At 62.0% G+C, this 21,787-nt stretch overlaps 1 protein-coding gene across 35 annotated transcripts in view, besides 5 other annotated features; it reads left to right on the top strand.

The window, feature by feature from the left end:
• CAMK2B (calcium/calmodulin dependent protein kinase II beta) overlaps positions 1-21,787 on the top strand; it is a 108,860-nt gene that overhangs the window by 84,690 nt on the left and 2,383 nt on the right. For 2 of the 35 annotated variants that reach the window (XM_011515559.3, XM_011515547.2), the window contains exons 12-24: positions 575-617; positions 1,661-1,735; positions 6,648-6,685; positions 6,863-6,934; positions 8,458-8,502; positions 10,270-10,318; positions 11,823-11,936; positions 12,400-12,528; positions 14,680-14,808; positions 15,433-15,561; positions 20,423-20,498; positions 20,614-20,708; positions 21,030-21,264. In XM_011515559.3, coding sequence (XP_011513861.1) covers positions 575-617; positions 1,661-1,735; positions 6,648-6,685; positions 6,863-6,934; positions 8,458-8,502; positions 10,270-10,318; positions 11,823-11,936; positions 12,400-12,528; positions 14,680-14,808; positions 15,433-15,561; positions 20,423-20,498; positions 20,614-20,708; positions 21,030-21,262 — 1,227 coding nt within the window. In that variant the 3' untranslated portion in view covers positions 21,263-21,264. Of the gene's footprint in view, positions 1-574; positions 618-1,660; positions 1,736-6,644; positions 6,686-6,862; positions 6,935-8,457; positions 8,503-10,269; positions 10,319-11,822; positions 11,937-12,399; positions 12,529-14,679; positions 14,809-15,432; positions 15,562-16,010; positions 16,140-20,422; positions 20,503-20,613; positions 20,709-21,029; positions 21,265-21,787 lie in introns of those variants that run through there. The other 33 variants (NM_001293170.2, NM_172078.3, XM_011515552.2 and 30 more) reach the window with 32 other exon arrangements.
• Positions 18-87: an enhancer, noted in NCBI's record as "active region_25934". NCBI's record gives its function as "activates an Ori minimal core promoter by ATAC-STARR-seq in GM12878 lymphoblastoid cells {active_cell/tissue: GM12878}" and the evidence as "EXISTENCE:reporter gene assay evidence [ECO:0000049][PMID:35858748]".
• Positions 248-447: an enhancer, noted in NCBI's record as "active region_25933". NCBI's record gives its function as "activates an Ori minimal core promoter by ATAC-STARR-seq in GM12878 lymphoblastoid cells {active_cell/tissue: GM12878}" and the evidence as "EXISTENCE:reporter gene assay evidence [ECO:0000049][PMID:35858748]".
• Positions 4,715-5,598: an enhancer, noted in NCBI's record as "H3K4me1 hESC enhancer chr7:44275325-44276208 (GRCh37/hg19 assembly coordinates)". NCBI's record gives its function as "activates a minimal SCP1, AML or CMV promoter by ChIP-STARR-seq in naive H9 embryonic stem cells {active_cell/tissue: H9 hESC(naive)}" and the evidence as "EXISTENCE:reporter gene assay evidence [ECO:0000049][PMID:30033119]".
• Positions 19,203-19,766: an enhancer, noted in NCBI's record as "H3K4me1 hESC enhancer chr7:44261157-44261720 (GRCh37/hg19 assembly coordinates)". NCBI's record gives its function as "activates a minimal SCP1, AML or CMV promoter by ChIP-STARR-seq in naive H9 embryonic stem cells {active_cell/tissue: H9 hESC(naive)}" and the evidence as "EXISTENCE:reporter gene assay evidence [ECO:0000049][PMID:30033119]".
• Positions 19,767-20,331: an enhancer, noted in NCBI's record as "H3K4me1 hESC enhancer chr7:44260592-44261156 (GRCh37/hg19 assembly coordinates)". NCBI's record gives its function as "activates a minimal SCP1, AML or CMV promoter by ChIP-STARR-seq in naive H9 embryonic stem cells {active_cell/tissue: H9 hESC(naive)}" and the evidence as "EXISTENCE:reporter gene assay evidence [ECO:0000049][PMID:30033119]".

Genomic DNA, 21,787 nt, shown 5'->3' with positions numbered 1-21,787 from the left:
GCAGAGCCACACACACTGGTCTTGGGTGGGCTGGGGGAGTTCTGGGAGGGAGGTGGGTCCCAGTAGGGTATCCAACCTGCCTGCTTTGGTCAGGGCTGGCTCCGGTGACCGCACACTGGCAGTCCCTCTACTTGTGGGTTCCGGGATGGGGACTTGTTGCCTGACTGCCCTCTGCTGGTCTCTGAGCAGTTCTCCCCGGAAGCCCCAGGACTGTTGCCCTGTCTGAGCCTGTCAGGAAAAGAAGGGGCTGTCAGGGAGCTGGACCCCAGAGGAGCTGCCGTGGTGACCAGCTGTTCTGGTGACCCCTGAGGCTTGAGGGGTCTTGAAGCAGCTAGAAGCTGTAGTTGGTCAACAGGTTTAGGCCCAGGGTGTGTGTAGTTCTGGAAATAGGTGATCTGTCTCAGTGCGGCTGCTGGCTTCCTGGAGCTCTTGCCTCTCTGGAAGGCTGAGGTCATGTCAGCCTCATGACAATGAGGCTGAGCATCTGGGCAGGAGGACAGGGGTCTTATCCTGGCCAGAAGCCAGCAGGGAACACTGATGGGATAGCCCCGGTTTTATCTGTGTCTCTCCCCAGGGAGCCATCCTCACCACCATGCTGGCCACACGGAATTTCTCAGGTGAGCCTTTCTTCTCCAGGGAGACAGGCGCTGCCCCCTCCCTGCTGGCCCACGCAGGAGAGCGCCTCCTTCCTCACCAGCCTCTCCACTCCTCCTCTGCGGCAGGCCTGCCCTCGGCGTCTGCCCTCAGCTCTGAGACCCACTGCCCACCTGGCCCCGCTGGGCTCCCACCTTGGGTGATACCACAGGGTCCAGCCCCCCGAGGCCATCACCTTCGTGCTGGGTCTGTGTCCCTCCACCCCCTGAACACGAGCGTCTGTGCTGCCCCACTGGGGCTCACAGCATCGTGTGTGTCTGTCCAGGCGTTTGTCGGGCATCTATGTGGCCTCCTTGTCATTTTGAGTGCTCTGAACATTGTGTTTTGTGCGGGAGGTGGGCAGAAGGGATGCGGGGTGATGCGGGAGGCTCGGGGGCCTCCTTCCAAGTTCTGGATGAGCTGCAGCCTCCTGTCCCGGCTGCTCAGGGTGGGTGGTTGGGAAGCAAGTTCTCTTGGCAGGGGGGTGGGGTCTGTTATAGACCCCTGAGGCCCAGGGCGCTGGCAGACCCATCGGGCATGATGTTAGCCCCGGAGTGGAGCCGGCAGCCCAGGTCTGGACAAGCTGTACCTGTGGCTTCTCCGTCGTCCGACACTCCGTGTGCGAGCGTCTGTGATCCGTCTCTCTCGTTGTCCGTTTGCATCTGGTGCCCCCCACCCGCCATCCTGTTACTTTTGCTGTGATGCTGTAATGCCGGGAACGCGTGCACACGGTCACACCAACACTAATAGGACTGTCCTGTCTGCTGTGTGCTCACCACACCCTTTGGGCATGAGAAGCCCCCACTGGGGTTTTCTAAGGAGAAAGGAGGCAAATGCTTTTCCGTGTCAATCAGTCCAATCTTGTTTTCACTCTCTTGAGCAAAGGATTCTGGAACCATCTGTCACCTAAACTTTAACTCTAATCTTCTTCTGCTTCCTTTGTCTCTTTTCTTCCCTTACCTCGCCCACCCCTCGTCTGTGTCCGCCCACCCCTCCCTTCCCCTCGTCTCTAACCCGGTGCTAACAGTGGGCAGACAGACCACCGCTCCGGCCACAATGTCCACCGCGGCCTCCGGCACCACCATGGGGCTGGTGGAACAAGGTAGATGTGTCTCGACCAGCGTCCCGCCCGCTCCCGCCCGTCCCTCCTGCCAGCATGCAGCCCCCTGCTGCACGCAGCCGCTGGCCGGGCTCCAGAGCCGCCCCAGAGGCCGCCAGGCCCCCGGGAGCCCCTGCTCCCGTGTGGTCACATCCCAGCAGAGCCCACCACAAGGGCAGGGAGGCAGCCCCCAAGGCTCCTCGCCTGTAAGAGGAGGGGCTGGGCTAGGTGGCCCCTGGGCTACACCAAGCCCTTCTGGTCCTGGCCCCCGAGGTCTGGGGGTCCGGAGACCCCCATTAAGAATGGCCTGGGCCCACAGGGAGCCACTGGGCCTGCTGCTGGGGGGTCTGAATCCTGAAAGGAGAGCCTTGAGGAGCAGAGCCAGAGAGGCAGAGGCCCTTGGGGCAGACACACACCCTGCCCCTCTGGGGCCGCATGGAGACGGTGGTCTGTGCTGCTGAGTCCTACACATGCATGTCTGCCCTGAGCATCCCCCCAGGACAAGCCGCTCTGGAGTGGGTGAGGGTTTTATGCACCCTGAGGAGACTTTCAAGGCTTCCTCTTGGGTTGTTTCTGCAAAGTCCTCCTCCCCTGGCCTCAAACCCTGTGAGGGAAAAGGCCGGCACTGGCCACCTGCTCCTCTGGGCTGTGCGGGGCCAGAGCCAGAGGCCCAAGTTGGCTTCTGCCCACCTGCTGGCTTGTGACCATGGGCAGACCCCATGAGGGCTAGGCGACCCCAAGACCTCCTTGCAGCTCCAGCCTGAGCTGAAGGCTGGTGAGAGCTTAGGGCAGGCCAAGCTGACAACGCCTGGCCACAGAACACAGAGGGCTACAGGGGTGACCCCAGATCCTCCCTGGGCTGAGCTGCTGAGTTCCCTGTCGGTGCCTCCAACGTGGGCTGGGGACCCGGCAGAGGTTCCAGGGTGCTGGAGACTGCCTTCCCCAGGCCTCCTCATGACCCACAGGGTGAGCAGCCTGGCCTTCCCAGCCAGAGAACCCTCCTTCTGGGGAGGCCCAGGGCGTCCTCGGGGAGGGCAGTCTATTCTCCTCCCATGAGCCCAGTGGACGTGTCTAGCAGGCAGCACCCCGGGAGAGCCCTCCCACGTCTTCTCCATTTGACAGGCCTTTCCAGAGCGCAGGCGGGAGGGGGCTGTGATTAGAAAAGAGTGAGGCTAGTGGCTTCTGGGGAGGCACTGCTGCCCAGGGGACAGTGCTGAGAGACAGCTGCCTCTACGCTGCCCTGTGCCCGGGGCTCCCGCTGCAATGCCCGCCTGTCTGCAAGTGAACGTGGGGCGACGGTGCATGAGGCCCTGCATGTGTGGCTCCACCCTGGGCGCCGAGAGCAGCTCTGTCCTGGAGGGTGGTCAGTGCATGTGGACAGAGCCCAGCATGGCTGTCCTGGGTGACCAGCTAAGGGGACAAGGCAGAGGCAGGGCTGAGAGGACCACCCATCCTGCTAGGTCAGCCCAGCTCAGCCATATCACACGGCAGTGAGCATGGAGCTCAGTTCTCTGCCAATGGCAGCTGAGTCTAGTACCATCCAGTCAGAGTCTGGTACCAGCCCATGTGGCATAGCCCCCTCGGCCCGCAGAGAGACCCCGTCTGTCGAGTGTGCTTCAGTTTGGCCTCTGTGGTCTCTCCTGCATTGATCAGGTGTAAGGGCATAGGAGACCCAGTGTCCGGCCAGCTGCAGGGTGGCAGCAGTTGCCCCGGCCTGGAGACCCGGGAATGGGCAGTGCCTTCCCAGGATGGAGGGCAGAGGGTCTCTCCTTGTCCCACAGAGGCCTGCAGAACCCCCAACCCAGGTGTCTGAGATGCCTGTGACTGCTCCGCCTACCCTGGGCTCCTGCGGCACCTAACGCATGCTTTGAACTTGAGACACAGAAAGGAAGTTCCCGTGCCCTTGAATGCTAGTGTAGATGGGCATCGACAGGACTCTGGCCACGGTGAATCTGGAGTTAGTCCCAGGCAGAGATGTGAAATGAGCAGCCCCCCAAAAAATGGTTGGCCGGGAGCCATGCACTCAGGAGGGCCGGGCCCATGCACCCCACACTGCGCCCAAGGCGTGCACAAGCGATTGTTTTAAAAGCGGGTTCACAAGGAAGGATGTTTGGGAACTGACTGAGACAACAGGGACGTCTGCTGCAGGGCTTCCCAGAGCTCTGATGGCAGCGTCGGCCTGAGTCCTTCGAGGAGGGCTGGTTTGTACGTGGCATTTGCTGCCCACTGGACTGTGAACTTCTGTCTTTTTATTTCCCACTGCTGCTGTGGTACATCTCCAGTAGCATAGTTTGGAAATGCAGGTTTTGATAGACTCAAGGATCTAAATAGAACCCTCTTAGTACCAAGGACTGTCCGGGGTCTCTGCCAGCCCCGCCGATGGGCCTAACTGTGGTGCCTCCTTTCCTGTGAGAATCTTCTGAGGACATGCCCGGGGAAAGAGCTCAGTTCTGCTGCTGCCTAGGGTGCCATGCTGGCCCCGGTTCCAATGCAGAGCCTGGCTGGAAGTACCGCTGGGTTGGCGGAGGCTACGTGCCTGACTGTCCCCTCGGGGGTGGGGTGGAACTAGCCTTCTGAAACCGCCTGCTTCAGTTGGCCACAGCTTTTTGAAATGTGTGTTTCTGGAAGGGACTGGGTCCCTTCCTTGCCTGTTCAGCTCCCCACGACAAATGTCCTCAAGGCGAGGCTGGATGCTTCCTTCCTCAGGCTCCTAGGAGGAGCCCGTCCCCCAGCTGTGTCGGGCAGCTGGTCACCAGCAAGGACAGGATCCCTCAGCTGCAGCCTCAGGCTGGCTGGCACTGGGCGGGTGTTTCTGGGATGAGTTGTGTGTACTGGAGATGGGAGGGGAGCTGAGAGGGTGGGATGCACAGACAGGAGAGGGGACTGTGGGGGTCCTGGAACCCTGAGTTCCAAGTCTTCAGGACTCTCCCTCCATAGCAAGTTACAGGGAAGCAGATTTGAGCCACAGGGAAGCAGATTTGAGCTGCAGCGAGGGGGAGGGTTTTCAGTCTGTGCTATAGGGAAGTGGGCAGTCGGCATTTCTGGTCCTGGGAACTCACTGGGCAGGGCTGCCTTGGGACATCAGGGAGGTGGCGCTGTGCTCAGCTTCACCAGGAGGGGCCTTAGGCCTGGGGACGGAGAGTGATGCCTGAGGCCCCTCTACTTCTCCATGGATCCTGGGAGGGACTCCTGGGCTGGATACAAAATTGTTGAGAGTTAAGAGATCTGTGAGGAAGGGGAGGCTGGGAATAGAAAGTGTGTGCCCACTGCACATGGGGTCCGCAGGGCCACGTGCAGCCACTGCGCAGGCACAACCCCAGTCCCCACAGAGCCCAGGAGGGGCCAGAGCCATGGAGGAGGCAGCACTGGGCATTTGGACAGGGAGGGGGTGGTCAGCAGGCAGCAGGCCCAGGCCTGTCTATGCCCTGCGGGGTGCAGCCTCCTGATCTCCACGGCAACCTGGAGCACCCAGCGTCAGAACCACCGGGAGGGCTTATGGAACAGATGTCCAGCCCTGCAGAAGTTCTGGCTCAGGAGGGCGGGGTGGGCCTGGGAATTTGCATTTCTGACTGTACAGGGCGATTCTGCTGCTGCTGCTGCTGCTGGGGTTGGGGGAGGATCCCATTTGAGAAGCGCTGCAGTCCTAGGTTGAAACGTGCCTGTCTGTCCCCACCCAGGCCTGCATGGGCAGCACGGGATCCCCAGGCAGGAGGACCCAATTTCATGGCCTGGCCAGCCAGGGTCCTGGAGCCAGGCGGTGGGGGAGGGATGGGGGATTGCTGTGCCACCTTCCTTCCCGGCTTGGCCCGGGGGCAAGCATCCTCACACTTCCCATGTCGTCATCCCCTTGGCTCCAGCCTGGCTGCCTCTCTAACCCTGCTGTACCGGCTGGCCGCATGGCCCTGGCTCTTTTTGGTGAGCGTGGTCCAGGACTGGTGACCTGTGAGTCCTGGGCCCGCAGTCTTGCGCCCCTGCCCGAACCAACACAAATCTTGTTTTCTCTCTCTCTCTTCCTTCCTCACTCCCTCCCCTTCTCACCTTTCCTTTTCTGTAAGGTAAGCTGACTTCCTCTTTTGGTTTTTTATTTATTTTTATTTTTTAGTTCTGTAATTAAAATCCTAACAGCCATGGAGGGTGTGGGCACCGGGGGCTGGGGCCAGGCCCCTCTGACCTCTGAGGGGGAATGCTGGGTGAGGCAGGGGCCCCGCTGCTGGGACCAAGTATCCTCAGGGGCTTGTGGGCAGAAAGGCCTGTGCTGGCCCCAGTCAGTGCACAGAAGCGGCCCCAAGGCCAGGGCTGCTGGGCAGCTCGGAATGAGGGCGAGCAGGGCTGCCCTTGGTGCCTGAGCCAAGGAGCCAATGGGACAGACCTCTGAGGCCTGGGTGCCAAGGTATGAGGTCTGAGAGCAGGGTGAGCGCCTGGGCTGGGACAAGGCCCTCTGAGTGGGCGGCCAGCTGCAGCCCACCCACCCCTACCCCAGGAAGGCAGGGCCCGGGAGGGCATGACCTCTGGGGTGCTGGCTCAGCTGCCCCCACCCCAACCTGACACAGCTAGTCCTGAGTTCCCATCAGGGAGGAAGCAGCATCCTGCCTTCCTCTAGGAAGAGCTTGCATGTGGCCCAGAAGCCAAGGGGGCTCCCCAGCACCCACGGGCATCTCTGGGTCTGGTCAGAGGAGAAATCTGGATGCTTGCAGGAGCCCCAGGGTCATGGAGGAGGCTGGAGACAGGGCTGTCCTGGGGTGATGGGATGGCCCCCCCACCTGCTCAGAGCCAGCCTGGGTGCTGGAACCACACTTGCCTCAGGACCCTGGGCTTGCTCCTGGGGAAAGAGTGGGGTCAGGCAAAGGGGTGGGGTTGCGCTGCAGCGAGACCCAGGCCCATCACTCACCATACCTTCTTCCTCCCCATGCAGCAGCCAAGAGTTTACTCAACAAGAAAGCAGATGGAGTCAAGGTGAGGCTCCAGCCGGGCCCTGTGGTGCCGGGGAGCCCAGAGCCTGCAGCTTCACCCCCACGCCCTGGGGCTCCTGCTCTGGAGTCCCCCTCCCCCCATGCCCTGAGAGACACGGGACAGGGAATGGCGAGTGAGGGGCTTCTCCCACCTAAGAGTTCCTCTTCCCTCTCTCCACAGCCCCAGACGAATAGCACCAAAAACAGTGCAGCCGCCACCAGCCCCAAAGGGACGCTTCCTCCTGCCGCCCTGGTACTGAGCTCCTCAAATTCTGCCTCTCAGCCCCTCCTACGCCCCTGGCTGTGTGATTGCCGCTGGTCAGAGGGGGCCGGGTGAAGGTGGGGTCTGGCCCCGCCTGGCCTGTCTGACAGCACTCGCATGGCCCCCGCCCCTCATCCCTCACCGGTGGTGAAGTGGAGAGAAGAGGCCACTGTTGTGGGGGGCTCCAATTCAGACAGGTTTAGGACTGCTCTGGGGAGCCCCTGGCTGAGACCCACAGATGTTGGGGTGCAGGGGAGAGGCCCAGCCTCCCACCCATGTTGACTTGTGGATGTCTCTCCAGGAGTGTTCAGGAAGTCAGTGAGGCAGAAGATACCCTCTCCCCACCAGGACCCCACCCTCAGCTCCTCCACCATCCTCAACAGGCCGACCCACAGACCACTCCGAAGGTCTGGCTTGGTGGGGCTGGGCCAGGATCTGCAGGGGGAACAGCCCATAGTGGCACATTCCACGGCCCATGGGGAGACGGGGCCACGGTGGTGCAGTAGAGAGGTGTCTAAGCCAGTGGCAGCCAAGGGGAGGGCTTGCCGTCACCTCTGTGTTCCCTCAGTGCTGCTCTGTGGCTGCCTGAGAGGCAGGGCTTAGGGGCTCCCTGCCGGGGAGGGGAGGGGTCCCCACCATGCTCCGCTCCAACTGCGCCCCTCAGTGCCCCTTGCCCTGGGGGCTCCTACAGGTGAACCCTATAGCAGTACTCCCAAGGATGTAAAGTTGTGGCTGGTGGGTGCCGGCCTTCCTGCTGGGGCGCTGTGCTGTGTCCCCTCAGCTGTCCTAAGAGCTTTGGGGCTTGCTGGCCCGTAGGTCCCCATATTTGCTGGAAGCAGGCTTGGTGTCCCCTGAGAACCCCAGGCCAGGCTTCGGGAGCCAGCCCCAGACCGCCCACGGGAATACTGGGTTTGCCAAATGGCCACCTTGAGACCCAGGAGAGGAGAGCGGTCCTGGGAGGGGCGAGCTGCTCAGAGCAGCCAGGCCGTGGCTGGAGGGTGGCCTGGTGCAGCCTACCTAGGGCCTTCCAGTGGCCAGGGCAGCCCACGTGCCAGCCTCACAGCCAGCCCCATCTCGGACCCTGTCCATCCCATGTGCCACCGCCACCCCCATGACATCTTCAAACCTGTGCCCCCCACCACGCTGGGGCACAGGTTCAGGCAGTAAAGGGTAGGGAGAACCCCTCAAGACCGAGCCTGGCTTCTCTGGCTCCCACACACATTGTGCAGCTTGTCGGGGCCCCACACGGTCCATCTCCCACCCTGGACAGCAGCACCTCCGCCAGCCTGGACAGAGCTCCTGTCCATTCCATCCCTGCCGGCTGACCCAGGCTCCTCCCCCAGCTGCTCCACGCCGCCTCCATCCCTGTCCCCCACTCTGCTCTGCACTTCTTTCTCGCAGGCTCTGGCCACCCACACCTCCTCTGTCTCCCTGTTCCCCTCCTGGTGGTCTCCGCTTCCTCCTCTTCTCACTTTCCCTCTCTTTCCTTCCTCTGTGTCTTCCTTCTTCTGTAGGAGCCTCAAACCACCGTCATCCATAACCCAGTGGACGGGATTAAGGTACTGCCCCACTTTCCTCCTCCCGCTTTCCCCAGGCAGGAGGCTCCAGGCCAGGAGAGAGGTCTGGGGCAGCATTTGTGCCAGAGTGGAGGGCAGATGTCCCATGCCCTGGCCGCCCCTCCCCGCAGTACGGTAGGGCCCCAGTCCGTCTTCGTGGGCAACAACAGGACAGACTGGCTCAGGCCCCAGGCGCGCCCCTGGAGGTGCTTGGCACAGTTGCGCCCGGTCCCCATGTGGCCGACACTCTCAGACCAGGGCTCTGCGTGTCCCACCTACGGCAGGCAGTAGGGCTTCCTGAGGTCTGGAGCAGGGCCTGCATCTCAGGAGCTGCATCCTTGGCCCTCCTGGCTGTCCTCCACCCCACCTCCCTCACGTGGCCCCCAGTGCTTCCTGCTGAGCAGACCCTCCCTCCTCTGCTCCCCTCTCTGCTCTGGCCATCAGCTCCCATCACATTGGCATCATCACTCTGGGGCCAGGGAAGGGGCTGGCTCTCTGGGGTGGTGGGAGGGATGGGGCCAGCAGCCAAGCCATTTCCAGGACTTCCAAAACAGCGCCACTACACCCAACACGGCCCTCCAGCCCAGCTCCCACCTAGGCCTGGGCTCCTTACAGAGCCCCAGAGTGCCTCTGTGGGGACCCCCCACTTCCTTCTGGCCAGTGCCACCACCCAGCCCATCATCAGAAGACATCTTTCTCCATGGCAGGGACCAGGGGGTCCAAGGGGCACCCATGGTGCTAGGCACCAGGGCCTGGGCATTCTTCCCATCTGGCAGCTGGGGATGGGTGCCCCTGGGACCCGTGTGTGTCTGGGGTGGGTCATGCTCTCTGCAGGACTCCTAAACAACCTTCTGGGCTGTGGTGAACTCTGAGCCTGCACCTAAAGACCTGTAGTTCTGGTCTAGGGCCTCCAAGCAGTGTCCAGGCAGTGTCCAGACCAGGGGGCGGTCCCCCAGGGACCTTGTAAGATGTTTCCTCTGAGGAGCAGAGCAGGCCTCCTGGGGACCTGGGGGATGGTCTTTTGAAGGGCAGCAGCCCTGGAGCAGGGTGGGAGAGTCTGGGGCCACCTCTGCCCTCTAAGGCCACCTGAGAGGTGAGGCCGGGGCCTGACTGGACGTCCAGTCCCAGAGGGGCAGGTGCCCTGAGGGAATGTGGGCGACAGGAATGCTCTGCCTGGGGCCAGGCCAAGGTTCCTGGAGCCCTGTGCGGATCTGCAGAGCTCCTGGGAACGCCTCACCCTGTATTTTGGATGACACCGGCTGCTGCTTCATTGGAACCAGCCAGTCCCATTGTGTTTTACGTCTTGGAATTTCAAAAAGCCCATTTTCCTCTCTTGTTAAAGAGTCAGCTGAGCATACCAGTCTCTCTGCCAGGCTCATCTTGCTGGGAGAAGTGGAGCCCTCATGTGTTGGGGATGCAGGGTGGCCACAGCACTAGGGTGGCAGGGCCGGCCTCGGACTCCGTGCCAGCCTGTGCTGGCTGCCGTGAGAATGCACCCTGGTGAGGGGCGCCCTCCCAGGGACCAGCACAGAACTGGGTGTCTTCTCCGGTCACTGCCGCATGAGGTCCACAGAGCTGGGGCCCTGCAGCCGCCAGAGGGCATGTCCCCTGAGCCCCTGGCCTTTAAGCCCCGTGGAAGCAGCCGAGGCAGAGATCAGCTTCAGAGCCTGGGCTGGTCCTGACACAGGCCCAGCCCTGTCCACCTGCCCTCAGCCACGTCCCACCTATCCTTGGCCGCATCCTGACCCGCTGCCTCCCGTGTTTCCTCAGGAGTCTTCTGACAGTGCCAATACCACCATAGAGGATGAAGACGCTAAAGGTACCTGCACTTGAGTCCTTGCCCCCCCAGCGGCCTTGGCATTGCTGGGTTGCTCTTTGAGGTGGGTGGGACTTGGGCAGGGTCAACTCTCCTGCGACGCCTAGTTTATGCATGTGTTGAGGGGCTCAGGGACCCTGTAGCTGTAATCCTGCTCCAAGCCTGGGTGTCAGGCCTGCCCAGAGCGGAGAAGCATGGCAGAGATGACCGACAGCTGGGCAGTCTCGGTCACCGCATCCAAGTGAGGAAGCCACGGCTTTGCATGGAGGCAGGTTCTCCACACCAGGACCCTCACGGGGAAACAGGCCCATGGGTAGAATTTGTTCCAAGATGCTGTCCTTGTCTTAAAGCTCCTTAAGCTTGCGTTTCTGTCCAGCATGCACTTGCCAAGTGGCCGGGCAGCTGGGTGAGTGTTTCCGTGTTTGCCTTTGCTTAGCCAGGAGTGTCCTGCTGCGGTGGGTTTCTGCACCACAGATTCCAGGGCCCCCTCCCTTGCTCACCCAGGCCAATGTCTTGTGTGTTCCCCAAGAGGCCCCCAGGGCACCAGGCACTGGGGCATGCTCCATGGATTCTGCCGCCTCCAGACCACCCACATGGGGCCTCCTGACCCTCATCGCTCACACGGTCACCTAATAAGCCTTATGCTGTTCTCAGGGCTACCCTGGTGCCCAAAAAGGGTCAGCCACTCTGCCAGTTTAGGGGAGAAAACTTCTCACCTGTCCAAAGCATAGCCTTGCTCCTGCCCGGCCTACCCAGCTATGACACTGTCCCTGAGCAGAGATGAGCACAGGACTTTGGGCCCTGGATGCCGGAGAGTGGGTGTTTGTGTGATTCCCCTGCAGTCTGGAACAGGCCCCAAAGGCAACAGCATGAAGGCTGTCCAGAGGTTCTCCATCACCCTCAGCCGAGTGGGGTGCTGAGCAGTGAGGGAGGGGACCTGGGAGGGGGGCCCAGCCTGGATCCTGCAGGGGAGAAGAGAAGACAGCCAGAAGCCAGCAGCTGTGGCTCAGATCTGAGCCCGAGCAGCCTCTCGAGGTGGAGGCAGACACCCCCCACCCCACCCCGTGCAGAAAGAAGCCTTGCCAGCCTGCCCTGAGGCTGGTACAGAGTCCAGGCAGGCTCAGTGGCCATCATGCCCCTACGATGACTGTCACTCCCTCTCCGTGCGCCTGGCCTCTGCTGGCTCTGGCCAGGGGTGGTCACAGCACTAGGGTGGCAGGGTGGCCTCTGACTCTGCGCCAGCCTGCACTGGCCTGTGCTGCCCTGGCCTCTGCTGGCTCTGGCTCTGGCACCGGTCCCGTGTTGGCTCCTTCAGCCTTCACATACCTGCTGCGGCCACCACAGGCCCAGGACCCCCACAGGTGGCCACCCCACCTCCACCCCAGGAGCCCCAGGTATCCAGCTGTCACCCCCTCCCTCCCTCCTGGCCTCCCCCTGTCCTTCTCCAGTTGCCTTCTTTTCCTGCGGGCGCACCACCCACCTGCCTGCCTCACCTGTTCCGCCTCAGCCCCCAGGGTCCCCGACATCCTGAGCTCAGTGAGGAGGGGCTCGGGAGCCCCAGAAGCCGAGGGGCCCCTGCCCTGCCCATCTCCGGCTCCCTTTAGCCCCCTGCCAGCCCCATGTAAGTAGCCTGGGTCCTGCTGCTGTGGGGGTCATGTTGGAGGGCTGGCAACCCCCTAGAGGGGCCACTCCAGAGCCGAGGGCAGGCTGAGCGTGGACCCTGGCTCCAGCCTCATCACCCCACAATCCCTCACTGGGGCTTTCCAGGGTGGCCCCAGCCCATCGAGCCCCACCTCTTTGTGAGGAGGGCCCTGGACCACTTTCCTGCTCAAGGCCACTGGGCAGGATGGGAGGCCCTGGAGGCTCGGGCCTCAATTCCAGTCTTCAGGGTCGGTGCAGGCCTCACTCCACCTCAGCTTGCGGGCGGGGGGGCTCCCTGCTATTGAGGCAGGCTCTGATTCAGGGCCTGATCCCAGGGCCCAAGGGGTCTAGAACACGGGACCCCTCCCACTGGCCTCCTCCGCCTTGCCGCCGCCTCGTGTGTCTGTCTGCCTCATGTTCACGTCTCATCTGTTCCACCCCAGCCCCCAGGATCTCTGACATCCTGAACTCTGTGAGAAGGGGTTCAGGAACCCCAGAAGCCGAGGGCCCCCTCTCAGCGGGGCCCCCGCCCTGCCTGTCTCCGGCTCTCCTAGGCCCCCTGTCCTCCCCGTGTAAGTAGTGGCCCCCAGGCCTGCCGCCTCTGCTGCCGGACAGCTCCCTGCGAATGGCCGGCGCTCAGCAGCTTCCCACCTGCATGCACGGCCCAGCTACCCTGCCCCGGCGCCGCAGCCTGGAGTCCTGCCCTGGCGGGGCTTCCTGTGGGCTCCCATGCTAACCAGCAGGGCAGCTCCTGGCTTCTCCCTAAGGGGCCCAGACCCCTCCACGGCTCCTGCTCCCACTGCCACTCCCCGCTCGCTGTCCAGCCCCAGGCCCCTCTCCAAAATGTCTGTCCCAGCCCTGGGCAGCCCTGGCCCCTCCGAGGCCCCCCATGCCCCTAGGCCCTCTCTGCTGATCACTGTCCCAGCCCCACAGACTTCACACCCACCCAGGGGCCCTGCCCATGGTGCCCAGGAGCTGCACTCAGGGCCACCCTGGTTCCTGATGTGGCCCCAACCCCTGAGCACCCTCCCTCAGTCTAGGAGGCTGAGGAAGGTGCCAAAACTGGAACCCCGACCAGGGTCTCTGGAGCTCACCAACAAGGGGATAGTACGGAGAATCATAAGCCTGGCCTCTGCTGACCTGGGCTGTCCTCATGGGGCCAGGCCAGGCCTCCTCTGTAACGCCCGTGACTCCCTCCTCTCCCTGTAACCCCGTCCAGCGTTCCTCAAGGGCCACTTACCTGACAGCTTCTTGCTGGCCAGCAGCCTCTCCCTGGAGGGTGCCCTCTGCCCCCAGCAGCTTCAGCCCACGCCACCCGACAGCCAGAGCATCTGCCCTTCACTCCTGCAGCCTCCTCTCCACGCACCACGCTGTCCGCAGCAGCACCCTCTGTCCCCCTGTCTCCCTCCGTCCCCCCATATCCCCCTCGGTCAGCCTACAACCTCTCCACGTCCCCCTAAGTCCACGCTCTATCCCTACATCCCCCTCTGTCCCCCAAATTCCCCTCTTTCCCTCATTTCCATTTTCCTCCCCAAACTCTGCTCTGCCCCTCACATTCTCCCTCTGTCCCCCACACCCTCCTCTGTCCCCCAGACTCTCCCTCTGTCCCCCACACCCTCCTCTGTCCCCCATATACCCCTCTGTCCCCCACACCCACCTTGGTCCCTTCACGCCCTTTTCTGTCCCCCACACCCCCTCTGTTCCCTACACTCTCCCTCTGTCCTCCAGACCCTCCTCTGTCCCCCACACTCCCTCTGTCCCCCACACCCCCTGTCCCCCACACTCTCCCTCTGCCCCCCAGACCCTCCTCTGTCCCCTACACTCCCTCTGTCCCCCATATCCCCCTCTGTCCCCCACACCCTCCTCTGTCCTCCACCCCCTGCCCCCCATACCCCCTTCTGTCCCCCACACTTCCTCTGTCTTCCACACCCCCTCCTGTCCCCCACACCCCCTCTGTCCCCCAGACTCTCCCTCTGTCCCCCACACTCCGTCTGTCCCCCACACCTCCTGTCTTCCACACCCCCTTCTGTCCCCCACACCCCCTCTGTCCCCCATACTCTCCTCTGTCCCCCACCTCCCCCTCTGTTCCCCACACCGCCTTCTGTCCCCCACACCCCCTCTGTCTTCCACTTCCCCTCTGTCCCCCACATCCCCCTCTGTCCCCTGCACCCTCCTCTGTCCCCTGCACCCTCCTCTGTCCCCTGCACCTCTCTCTGTCCCCCACATCCCCCTCTGTCCTCCACACTCCCTCTGTCCCCCACATCCACCTTGGTCCCCTCACGCACCCCCATCCCCCATGACCCCTTCTGTCCCCCACACCCCCTCTGTCTTCCACACCCCCCTCTGTCCCCCACACCCACCTTGGTCCCCTCATGCCCCCCATCCCCTACACCCCCACTTTGTCCCCCCACATGCCCCTCTGTCCCCCACGTTCCCTTCTGTCTCCCACGTCTCCTCCATTTCCCGTTTCCCTCTCTGTCCCCCAAGCTCCCCTCCATCCCCCACATCCCCTTCTTTCCCCTATATCCCCTCTGTCGGCCCAGGTCCACCATCTTCCCCCCACACCCCCCCATTCTCCCTTCCTCCCCTCTGTCCCCTTGTGCCCCATCCCCCACATCTGCCTCTGTGCCCCTCAATCTCTGGCTTGGCTGTCTGCCCATGGTTTCTCTCCTGCGTGCCCCCCGTGCCTGCCTTGTGTTCACGTCTCGTCTGTTCCGCCCCAGCCCCCAGGATCTCTGACATCCTGAACTCTGTGAGGAGGGGCTCAGGGACCCCAGAAGCCGAGGGCCCCTCGCCAGTGGGGCCCCCGCCCTGCCCATCTCCGACTATCCCTGGCCCCCTGCCCACCCCATGTAAGTAGCACCTTGAGTGGCCGTGGCAGCGGCTGCCCGGAGGGGCTCGGGGCGTGCGAGCCTGGCAGTGGTGCTCTGGGAAGGGCCATTCTTGCGGAGGAGGGCGGGGCACAGGATCCCTCTGCTGGGTCCCAGGGAATTGCTTTGAAGCACATGAAGGTGCCACTGGGTCTCAGAAAATGGAGGTTATGGTTATGAAGTGTGTATGACATATGTGTATAGGAAGAGCGTCCGAAAGAGCAGGTTTGTTGCCGACCCCAGCATTCGCAACCCTGAGGTCCACAGCTTTCTCCTGATGGGAGGGGAATGGGTGGCAAAGGGTCTGCGCGTGTGGCAAGGGCTAGCACGCCAGGAGCTGCTGGCTTGGGTCAAGGTGGACCTGCTGGGCCGGGACAGAAAAGTGTCAGTCCCGGCCTGAGACGCTCTAGCATTAGAGCTGTCCAAGTCCAGACAGCAGGGAGCAGGTGGGGATCGGGAGGCGCGGATCTGGGGGGCAGCTGGGGCCAGGCTGAAACAGAGCGGGCGGGACAGGAAGCACAGGCTGGGCAGCCTCCCCGGCCAGGGAGGAGCCAGGCTGGGCCACCTCCCGGTCTGTCTGCCGACTACCCGCAGTATCACTTACAGGGATGGATGACATCCCAGGGCTGCTGCCACCCCCACCTGTGGGGAGACACCAGACTGGGGGTGGTGTGGAGATACTCTTAGAGAAGAGGCTGCTGGGCCACGGGCTCGGCATGGCAGGGCAGTGGCTAGGTAAGTACTTGAGGGACAGGTGGGGTCTGCTTGCCACCGTCCCCTCTGCAGGCTGGGCCTGGGGGCTGCTGCAGGCGGCCAGGGCAGAAGGGTGTGGGGAGAGTGAACCCACAGGAGCAGCGGCTCGAGGAGGGGGATGCAGGCTGCAGGCTCAAAGGGGCACTGGATCCACCCTGGGTGCCCGAGAGAGCAGGGGGCAGCCCCTGGAGGGGTACTCACCCCCAGAGCTTCTGTGGTCGGCTGAGGACCCCCAGCAGGGGTTGACTGAGGGGATCAGAGGCAAGCAGCTGAGGGGAGAGGCCAGGTTCTTGATGCTGATAGGGTCGGGGTGCCTGGGCGACCAGAACTCAAGGAGGGAGGCATGGGGAGGGGCCGCCGTGCAGCTGGGGTGGGTGCACCGCAGAGCCTCTGGGAGTGGTCAGAACCCCCGACACCTGCCACTTCTACAGCAGCTCATCTGATTTTAAGGGGCTTGCTGCCCTTGCAGAAGTGGAGGGGTGTGCCCAAAGGAGCCTGCCTGGAAGGTCACCCCATCAGGTTGGCATGACCCCAGCCCAGGACTGCAGCCTGCCCTCAAGGTCTGTGCAGTATCTGGGGTGAGTCCTCTGAGGACAGGGCCCAGGGTGGGTGTGGAGTGGCCAGCTCGGGGCTCGGTGTCCAGGCTCACCTTCAGGGGCCACAGCACAGACCTGCCCTTCCAGAGTCTTCCCTGAGCTTGGCTGGGGAGGAGGGGGCTGCAGGAAGGAGCTGTGAGCAGGGCAGGATGGAGATTCGTGTGGCCCTCCTGGGAGGGGCTGGGCAGGGCTGGGAAAGGGGTGGGTGAGATGTTCCGGAACTCAGGGAAAGGAAGAGTCTGGGTACTGCCCTGGGGGCACCTGGGCCCAGGTGGCAGGTGGCCAGCTTTCTGCCTCCTTTCCACCTCCTTTCTCCAGAAGGCACCCACCAGCTGTGTAAATAGGGCAGGTGCCCACGGCCCGCCTCAGGCCCCGTCTCCTCCCCACCCACGCTCTCTAATCGCGGATTATACACAATCCAGCCTGATCCCTGGGCAGCTGCCCTCCCTCCCGCAGCCACCTCTGGCTCTGAGAGATGGGCTTGGGGCCAGCCTGGGGTCCCAGGAGTCCAGGCCAGGATGAGAACCTGCTCTGACCCCACCTGGACGCATTAGGCCTGCCTGGACCTGTTGCCTCACCCCAAGAGAGCCACAGGCAATGCAAAGGCTCCTGTTCATGTCAGGGCACCTGGAAGGCCTGACTTGCAGAGGCTCTTGGCTCGTGCAGACCCCTCCAAGCCCAGGCCCTGCCCACCACCTCCCCTTTGTCTCTGGAACTGCCAGGACAGCTTGTCCTCAGCCAGCAGGTTTCCCGACCCGGGCACCTCTTCATGTTGGGCCCCCCTCCTTTCCCTCCATCAGGGATCATGCCCTTCTTCAGGGGCCTGGATATCAAGGACACAAAAGCTCCCATGTGCTATGTGGGGAGGCAGAGTGGGGGCTGGGTTGAGCTGGGGTCTGGGCAGCGCCATTCCGCAGGGCAGGGGCAGCCTAGGCTTCCCATCTGTGGAATGGGTGGGTGGGTCTCACAACGGACCTGCTTCCCGTACTTCAGCACGGTTACCACTCTTGATTGGAACTCTGACCATGCATCTCCTCTTCTGTTTACTTCACGCTTTCTCTTCCCATCAACTCCCATTTTAATTACAATTTGTTTAAAAGCACTGCATATTACTTCATTAAACAGAAGATTAGTTTCACTTACCATTAGTGTAAGGTGACTATAGAACCAAAGCAGACTGGAAACCAAATGACATAATGTCATTCTCTTCTCCATTCCAGCTGCCTGCTGCTGTGCGCCTGAGAACCCCTGTGGAGTGGGAGGGGCAGCTGTCTCTGTACATTAGAAAGGGAGGTTAACTAAGTGACAGGAGGTGTTTGGGACATGTGGACACCAGACTTCTCTCTTGATGCAAGGAGGGCAGAGCCAGGCAGCCTAGTGGGGGCTGGCTTGGGGGCTGCTGGAAGGACTGGCTACAGGTGGAAGAGAGGTCAGACCTGAAGCTTGGGGCCACCTCCAGGAAAGGACAGGTGAAAGTGGAGGCATGAGGCAGGGGAGAGGCAGGTGCCAGGCAGAGGGTGGAGAGGAGGCAGGAACATAGCAGCTGGGGCGGGGGCGGGCCTCAAGTGTCATATGCTACTTTCCTGGGGCCCAGGGGCAAGGACAGGAACAGCCACAGCATGTGTTGGGACAGAGCCCTGTGCCTTCCTAGAGCTGGGCAGGTGGAATGGGGCAGGAATGGGACTCGTGGTGGCTGCAGCAGGAACTGGAGGGGAAGGGGCTTCTGGATCCTGCAGCCTACCTTCCTAGAGGCCAGCTTTCCGGGGTCCACCAGGTGGGTGGGAACTGGGCTTGTGTAGCAAGACTGCCCTGAGGACCATCCATGACATGGTCTAGATGAAAGTTAGGAAAGAAAGGGAGACAAGCTGGCAGCAGAAGTACAGCTGGGTCAGGAGCAAGGGCCTTTCCAGATAGGGACAACCCAAGAGTGCACATGTGCCCACGCCACACAACACAGGCACACACGACACGTGCACGCTCATAGGCACTGCACACACACATGCACAGGTGCTCATGCATATGTATGAGCTTCATCTACACACATTCACATGCCGTCCTGCTTATGTGCATGTTTCCATACATGCACATGAATGCACAATCACGTGTACACACATGCATGTGATCACATACATGAACATGTGTGCACCCCACTCCTCAGGTGCCATCGGGCTCCTCCTGCTGTCACTGTGCAGCAGGGGACATGAGGCCCCAGAGCAGACAGGTGCAGCACAGGCGTTCCCAGGCAGTGCCCCACACACATGCATGAGCACACCCGGGCATGTGGCGCCTCCTTTGTGGACTCAGTCACCTGCCAGGTGGGCTCCCTGGTGGTGTGAGCTCCCAGAGGTCTGGCGAGAGAGATAAAGGCAACCCCACCACCAGGCGTGCTGAGAATTCCCTCTTCTGGCTGGGCACAGTGGCTCATACCTGTAATCCCAGCACTTTGGGAGGCCGAGGTGGGCAGATCACTTGAGGTTAGGAGTTTGAGACCAGCCTGGCCAATATGGTGAAACCTCATCTCCACTAAAAATATACACACACAAAAATTAGCTGGGTGTGGTGGTGTGCACCTGTAGTTCCAGCTACTCGGGAGGCTGAGGCAGGAGAATCGCTTGAACCTGGGAGTCAGAGACTGCAGTGAGCCGAGATCATGTCACTGCACTCCAGCCCGGGTGACAGAGTGAGACTCCATCTAAAAAAAAAAAAGAATTCCCTCCTCTGGGAATTTAGACCACAGACAGGTTGCATGTATGTGGCCGTTGGAGGCAGCACTCACAGCAAAGAGTGGAAACGTCACCACAGGGCCTGCCTTCTGGTGAAAATGGTGTCCTGCAGGGCGGGCAGCTGTTTGAGGGCAGGTGTCCCAGGTGCGGCCTGCAGCAGCCTGAGGGTCACAGAGCGCAGTGCTGGGAGTGCAGAGACTTCCCCCACAGGGAGAGTTCCCAGGAACCTGCTTCCGGTGCACTTCTGGGGGTTTGAGTTTTTTCCACGGACGAATTACTTTGAGAAACCACTGTTACTCGTGTGTATAGGTGAGCGTGCGTGTGCATGTGTGTTCTGTGTGTGAGTGTGCATGTATGTGCGTGCCTGCGTATATATCCTCGCAGATACGGCTAGGGACCTCACTCAGGACAGTAGTTCTGCCTGAGGAGAGTGAATGCGGCAAGATTGAGGAGAACACAGGCATCTTCAAACTACATGTGCGGTGCTTTATTTCTTTAAAAATGCGTCTAAAGCAAATAGGAAAATGTTAAGATTTGAATCCGTAGAGTGTGGGTTCTATTATTCTCTCCACATCTTCCATACGTTTAAAATCTTTTGCAATGAAAATAAGCTGTAGTTAAAGCAGCAATGCAGGCTGCCAGTGAGCGCCCCGGAGGCCAGTGAGGACCAGCATGGCTGGGTGGCCTGTTGGAATCCAAGGGGGGCGGGCAGGAGCTGCAGGCAGGCGCCCGGGAGTAGCCCGGGCATGGGGGTGCGGGGCAACAGGGATGTCTGCAGGGGTAGCATGTGGGCCCCGGACTGCAAGCAGGTGGAGCCAGCCGGATGCGGCTCCTATGAGAAAAGCGGGGAACAAGAGACCACGCTCGTTCTTCCTGCTGCGGGGACAGCCCTGGTCATCGCTCCGGGGAACCCTGCAGCCTGCGCCGCACGTGGCCGCCCCCTGCTGCTTCCTCCTCCCCGGCCTCCGGGTGGCCTTGCTGACGGCTCCTTCTCTGAGGCAGGTCTCTGCCTTCTCGCCTGGTGCCTGCACTCAGTAGCCCCCTCACCAGAGCTGCTGGGTGAAGGAAGCACTAAGAACCCAAGGCTCGGGAGGAGAGTGGGGCCGGGAAGCTGCAGGGAAGCGCAGGGCCAGGCCTGGTGGGCCCAGGGGCTGGCTCACGGGAGGGCAGGAGGGAGACTGTGGCGGACAGCACGTGGGGCCAGGAGGTGACCTCCAAGTGGATTGTGGGTGGGTTTTTTGTCCTCTTTCTGCATTTTCCAGGCATTTTGTAATGTGGATAGAATATTTCTGTTCTTCAAAAATACTTTAGTTAAGAAAAATAAGATGGAAGCTGTTGCACTTGAAAATGAGGAAGCCACTGGTGATGCAGGGGGGGCGGCGGAGAGGACCTCTTCTGCAAATAGCGGCAGGAACACGGCATGGATGCAGCTCGCGCTCCCCCAGGCCCTCCCCTGGGCTGTGTGGAGGGGTCCGGGGGGAATGGGCCAGCGCCCAGTGGTCACCTGGCCATGTCTCCCCACAGCCCGGAAGCAGGAGATCATTAAGACCACGGAGCAGCTCATCGAGGCCGTCAACAACGGTGACTTTGAGGCCTACGCGTGAGTCCCTGGGGCTGGGGGGGGGCTGTGCAGGACAAGGATGTGGGACCCTTGGGGGGGCCTGCTCAGAGTCAGGGGTCCACGGGGCCCCTCCTCACTTGGATTTGGCCCCCAGGAAAATCTGTGACCCAGGGCTGACCTCGTTTGAGCCTGAAGCACTGGGCAACCTGGTTGAAGGGATGGACTTCCACAGATTCTACTTCGAGAACCGTGAGTGAGGAAGCCCGGGTGGGCATGAGGGGGCGGTGCCCCCAGGAGAGCCTCTCGGCCCCTCCCAGGGACAGCATGGTGGCTGCCTATGGAAGCCCTGTCCCCTCTGTGCCCAGGGTTGGCCAGCCACCTCTCCCCCGCCAGAGGCCATACCCAGCCCCCAGAATCCCACTCTTGGAGGGGCCCATGCTGCTCCCAGGAGAGCCGAGCCTCCCCAATAAGGGGAGTTGAGAGAGGGAAAGGATTAGGCTGGTGGGGTGGAAGACGGGCACCAGGGCAGTCATGGTAACCCGAGACCCCCGCCCCGCCTGCTGTCCACAGTGCTGGCCAAGAACAGCAAGCCGATCCACACGACCATCCTGAACCCACACGTGCACGTCATTGGAGAGGATGCCGCCTGCATCGCTTACATCCGGCTCACGCAGTACATTGACGGGCAGGGCCGGCCCCGCACCAGCCAGTCTGAGGAGACCCGCGTGTGGCACCGCCGCGACGGCAAGTGGCAGAACGTGCACTTCCACTGCTCGGGCGCGCCTGTGGCCCCGCTGCAGTGAAGGTGAGTGTTCTGTGCTAAGTGACAGCTGGGGCAGAGGGGTGGCGGTGGTGTGAGTGGCTGCAGCCTGGGGAGGCGATGGGGAGCGGTGGGGCCTGTGCAGAGCCATGCCTGGGAAGTCCCTGAGCTTTCCTGGTGAGGCCACAGGAATGATGTCAAATTAGGGACCACGGCAGGCTGGGTGTGGCAGGCCTCCCCAGAGGACTGGGGAGCTGGTGAGGGCCTGAGCAGTCCACACTGGCCAGAGCTGGGTGGGTTGCAGGTGGATGGGCCCCGGGCAGCACAGTCCTGGGCACCATGCCCTGTTTGTGAGGACTGTTAGAGCCCCAGATGGGCGTTCCCCAGGTGGTGGGTGCAGCGGGCCCAGAGCCCAGTTTTACAGGGATAGTAGTAATTGGGTTGGGCACCTTGAACCTCTCTCCCGAGTGGGCCCTTTTCTGGACTTTAACCCTCTCTGCAGTGCCGCATGGCAGACAGCAGAGCCTGGGGGTGGATGGGAGAGGGGGCTGCTGAGGAGCTGACCCAC

The sequence above is a fragment of the Homo sapiens genome, chromosome 7 (assembly GCF_000001405.40).
Source record: "Homo sapiens chromosome 7, GRCh38.p14 Primary Assembly".
Lineage (NCBI taxonomy): Eukaryota > Metazoa > Chordata > Mammalia > Primates > Hominidae > Homo > Homo sapiens.
The sequence above is the reverse complement of the archived record's forward strand: the minus strand, read 5'-3'. Positions and strand labels throughout refer to the sequence as shown.